This window comes from Homo sapiens, chromosome 6 (assembly GCF_000001405.40).
Source record: "Homo sapiens chromosome 6, GRCh38.p14 Primary Assembly".
Taxonomy (NCBI): domain Eukaryota; kingdom Metazoa; phylum Chordata; class Mammalia; order Primates; family Hominidae; genus Homo; species Homo sapiens.
Genome location: NC_000006.12, coordinates 120536674 through 120542083, shown reverse-complemented (window position 1 = coordinate 120542083; position 5410 = coordinate 120536674).

Here is a 5410-nt window from a genome sequence, read left to right as displayed (position 1 = left end):
AAACATCAGAAGATAGAAGAGGTAAGAAATGATGCTCAGAGAGACAGCATGGCCCTGCCAACACCTTGATTTTGGAATTCTAAGTTCCAAAACCTCGAGACAATAAATTTCTGTTATTTTAAGCCATCCAGTTTTTGATACTTTGTCAAGGCCAGCCTGGGAATGTAATATACTCCTTCCAGTATCACCTTAAATGCTACTTTCTCTATCAAATCTTTCCTGATAACATTTTCTTCAATAACAGGCTTACATTGTCCTTTAGGGCACTGTGCTTATATGTGCTGCAAAGGCAATCAATATATATGAATTGACTTAATTATTGAGTCAATATATATAGTGACTTAATTATTTTAAATAAAGAATAATTGGTTAATTCTTGAAGAGGCTGGAAATCCTTATAGAAAACACTTCTGTCTTAGCATTTATCCCTATCAACCATTTCCAAAAAGTTAAGGACTATGTAGTACATGAAATGAAATGTGCACTTTCATTACATTAAACTGTCATTTTAATAGTTACTTCTTATCATCTATCATTTAACTAAATAGAGAGGTAATTATATCGCTATCACTTATCATTAAACCTAGTATTAGGTGGAGGAGTTTGTTTTGAGAGGAGGAAGAGGCTACAAAGTTTACCTTAAAATATTTCAGAAAAATGAATGAGAAAAAGTGGCAAAGATGTTGTCTGAAAGGGAGAGGATTAGGAAAAATAACTAATGGGTACTATGCTTAATATCTGGGTGATTAAATCATCTGTATAACAAGCCCGATGACACAAGTTTACCTAAGCAACAAACCTTCAAATATACCTCTGAACTGAAGATAAAAGTCAAAAAATAAAAATAAATGAAGATCTGATTGATGTATAACATATCAAGTGGATTTCTGGAAATAAGAAATAGTATCATCCTATAAAACTATATCAGCACTTGCATTTTCTGAGGGCTGTCCCCATTTTCCTTACTAGTGATTAAGGAACAGAGTGCTTAGGAGATTTACTCAGGGGACAAATCAATGGGGTTTTCAGAGCTGGGACATGAGTCCTTTGAATTGAAAGCACTTTTGTTTTTTATTTCAATATATTTCCTCTTCTATGCACTATTAACATGCAACAATCTTGTATCTTCAACCCTCTACTACATGAAGCAAACCAGTTATCTCATTTAGAAGAAGTCAGAAAACAAGTTTCTTTTTGAGAGACTCAAAAGTAGCTATTAATTCTCAGTCTGTCTTGACTATGCCTTCTTCCCTTCATCCCTGGCTGCCACTATAGTCCAAGATACCAATATTTCTTTTATTTCCTGTATTAAACTTCTGCCTGGTCTGCCTTCTCCCACTTTTCTCCCCAGCACACACACTCTCTACCCCAATCCTACTGAGTTTTTACATAGCAGCCAGTGTTCTTTCCAAAATTCAGATCTGATCATGTGAATCTCTTTCTTGAGACCTTCCCATTCTTTTTAAAATAATAATCAAAATCCTTCACCTGACTTCAAAGCCTCAGTGAGTCCCACCTCTACTCTCATACATACTCTGAATTTACCTTACAAAGATCTCTATCAACCCAGTCACAGGGTCTCTTGATTTCTCAAAGTGGTGTGCTCAGTCTTGCTGCTTCAGTCTAGATGAATTCCCCTTATCCAAAATGCTTTTTAAAAATCACCTATCTGCTTCTTGTATCTTCTTCACTTAGTTAGCTTCTATTTATTTTTGTGTGGTCCCATGTTAAATGTCATTTCTCATAGAAGCATTTCTTGCTCCTTGAAAACTGAGGCCAGTTCCCTTATATTTTCTTTTATAGCACTTATCACTCCCTATCATTATTACATGTTTATTGATATAATCTTTTAACATCTGTCACCACTGTAAGACTGTCATCTCTCTGAGGGTAAATAAACTCCAGGGCTGCTTTTGTTCACTGGTACTCCCCTAGTACCTTGCAGGTGCCAGAATGGATAAGTATATATTGAATCAACAAATTAAAAGAAAAATGATATGAATTAATTGGTGGTTTTCATATGAGCATTATTACAAGCCACTGTTTCTGAAGGCCTTCCAGTCTTATGATCATGCATTAGAATTGCCAGATATCTGTGTTAAAATGCACATTACCAGTCCTTGTCCCTGGTTAACCTACTAACTCAAATTTTCTGGGCACAGGGCCCTACATCAAAAAGGTAATTCTAATGTACTGCTTAGTGTGTGGACTCACTCAACTAAACAAATATTTCCAGGATGCACAATATGTGAAACTTCAGAAACTTTAAATTCAATCTCTTTGCAAAAAAGCAACTTAGTATAAAATTATCCAAGTATCTTCTATTAAATCTAAGAGATTCATTACCAGGCTAGGTTTATATGATATAAAAATGAATAAGGTTTGACTGCTATCCTAGGAGGAGATCACAAACCAGTAAATTACATGAACTTATAATCAGGCAAATTATGATACACTGAAATATATTTTCTTGCCCAGAGATATGACCTTTACTCCTGATTAGAAAGGATGGAGTAAAATCTTTGAGGTGTTAGGACCCCAACATGAATTGAATTTTAATAGATGAATAAGGATAGTCAAGGAGATTTCCAGGAAGATAAAGTAGTTCTAAGTTATGGAATTATGAAGGGAATGACTGCCTCAGGAACTAGAGATAAGAAATAATTTGTAAAGGACATTGTAAGACAAATCAAATAATTTGGATATGAAAGTTTTAACTAATAAAGTAACAACTACATAGACAAAGACGCCACCTTTGAGGACTTTGTGATGAACAAGTAGGTCTCTTAGCTGATTGCAGAACCTTAGTTATTTTTTCTGCCTACTCAAAGAAAAATTACCATTGAAATTGAAAAATAGTATGTTTGTCAACAAGCATATTTTTATTACTCTGTATAGGAATTGGAAACCTTGTGTCTTCTAAATTTTCTATGTGAGTCCAGGCACGTTGGCTCACTCCTGTAATTCCAGCACTTTGGGAGGTCAGGCAGGAGAATCACTTGAGCCAAGGAGCTTGAAACCCACCTGGGCAGCATGGCAAAACCCCGTCTCAAAAAAAAAAAAAAAATTAGCTGGCTGTGGTGGTGTGCACCTGTAGTCCCAGCTACGTGAGAGGCTGAGGTGGGAGAACTGCTTAAGCTCAGAAGTTTGAGGCTGCAATGAGTTACGATTGTACCACTGCACTCCAGCCTGGGTGACAGAGTGAGACTCTAGCTCCAAAATAATAATAATAATAATTATTATCTCTAAGTAAAATATCATGTTATGTTAGAGTTATATATTTAAAGACTTCTATACAAAAGCATGCTTTGTAGTCTTCAAAGTTATATTTTGTTTTATGTGGACTGCCATGTAGCTACAGAAAATGCACATTTGATAATCATTGGCCAAGAAATGTATTACAATTGTTAACTAAAAAAATTGTTAACTAAAATATTGTTAACTAAAAAATTGTTAACTTAAACACAGAATGGGCAACCTGTAACTTAATAGTTCTCAACCCTAGTTACACTCGAAAACACTTAGAAAGCTTGTAAATTAATTGATAGTAGGGACTCAGTATATGTTTAGTGTGTTAATCTGGAATTTCCTTTTTAGTTTAAGTGACTAACAATAAACAGTAAAATCTGTACTAACTATAATAATCTGCTAACCTTGGGAAGAAATACAGATATCTATATTATAAAGAAAATCTACACTAATATTTTCTAAAAACTAAGGTTTCTGTAAAAGCACACTTTTTGTTTTACATTCTTAGCCAGCCTTCTTTTGGGGAGAAATATTTGTGATTATTTCAAGGATTGCAAAGAAAATTATTTGTACAGCATATTTTTCAATGTCTCAGCTCTTGTCAAATTAAACTAATTGTTGGATTAACCTCCAACATTGTTGTTTCTCTCTATATTTTTATGTACAAATGCCAGCCTTTAGTATTACAATGAAAAAATTTAAATGAGTACAGACTGAAGTAATTCATTCTGTGAGAACCACTGTGAGGTTCAAGCTTGCCACAAGTTACTGGGCTAGTGGTTCTCCCTTGATGTGATATGTGACCTGATTACTGTGTGCTGGGTTAATAGTCACCCCTGAAAAACAGAATGTAGAGAAGATTTCCTACTTCAGCTGACCTGTCTTCTAAAAGCTATTATGATTTACATTTCATCTTCTGAGCTCTCATACTCTCCAAAATTGCAAGCAGTTTTCCTATTTCCAACAGTACTTGGGCATTTTAATTAGAGTAACAGTTCTAACAGCACATGCATATTTGCTGGTGTAGAAAGTGTGGACCTTGCCAGAAAAAGTATTTAAATTATAAGTGGTAATAAATAGTTGTATATCTTTATACATTTTGGCTCTTAATTTTCTTCTTCTGCCTAATGGGAATAATTTTTGCTTTATTTAATTCTGAGTTACAGTAAGAATACAGGACTCTATTTGTATACAATAATGGGAAATAAGATGGTACCGTCAGTCTCAATTCACTTGGCATTCACTCATTCAGTAAATTTATTCTGAAGATGTACCATCTGAGTATATTGTGATGATTAAAATTGAGGCCTTGAAGTCAAATCTTGCTACCCGTTCCCAGTTGTACGATCTTTTGAAATCAATTTTCTCTCTACCTTGCAACTTTTCTTACCAGAAAAGTGGAAGGAATTAATAACCTTAATAAATTTTGGGGAAAATTTAATGGGACAACATGCATTAAACACTGAAATTGATATCTGACAGTGGGTAGGAATTCAGTGATGGCAGCATGCAAGGGGTGTGCAGGAGTGTTTGAATAGCAGGCCTGAGCTTTAGAAGGGAGGAGAAAATAAAGTCCCTGGCTGGCTCCCAGAAACTTGGCTTTGGGATGTTCTATGTATTGATAAGGTTGCTGTATCACCCTGTCTCTGCTGTACAGAAAATGCGATTTATGGTGAACACCTGCTTTCCTTATGGAAATCTTAAATTTTTATAGTTGTGCCTGTGTAACCAGCCCCCAATAAAATCTTGGAGTCTGAGTCTCAATTATACTTTCCTGTCTAGAAATGGTGTTCGTTTCACTGATAGAAGAAGGAGAGCGCTGTGTGTGGCCCCTTAAGGAGAGTATGGGAAGTCTGTGATGGCATGCCTCCACACTCTTTGCCAGCTGTCTTTATCCCCTTGCTGTGCTGTTTCTGTTGTATATCCTTTCTTGGTACCAATCCACAGCCATGAGTACAACTGCCTATAAGTTTTCCTAATTCTTCCTTCTAGCAAATCACCAAATATGAGGATGGTTGTGGAACCTTCCAACCTATGTAGTGGCAATGGTGTAATTTGTGAGAATGACCTCCCCTTACTGAAACATAACGGGAATGTTGTTTGGGGAAAATAAAGAGAGAAGGGTAGGAATGCTGAAGCCCTGATGCCTGAAAATCTATAG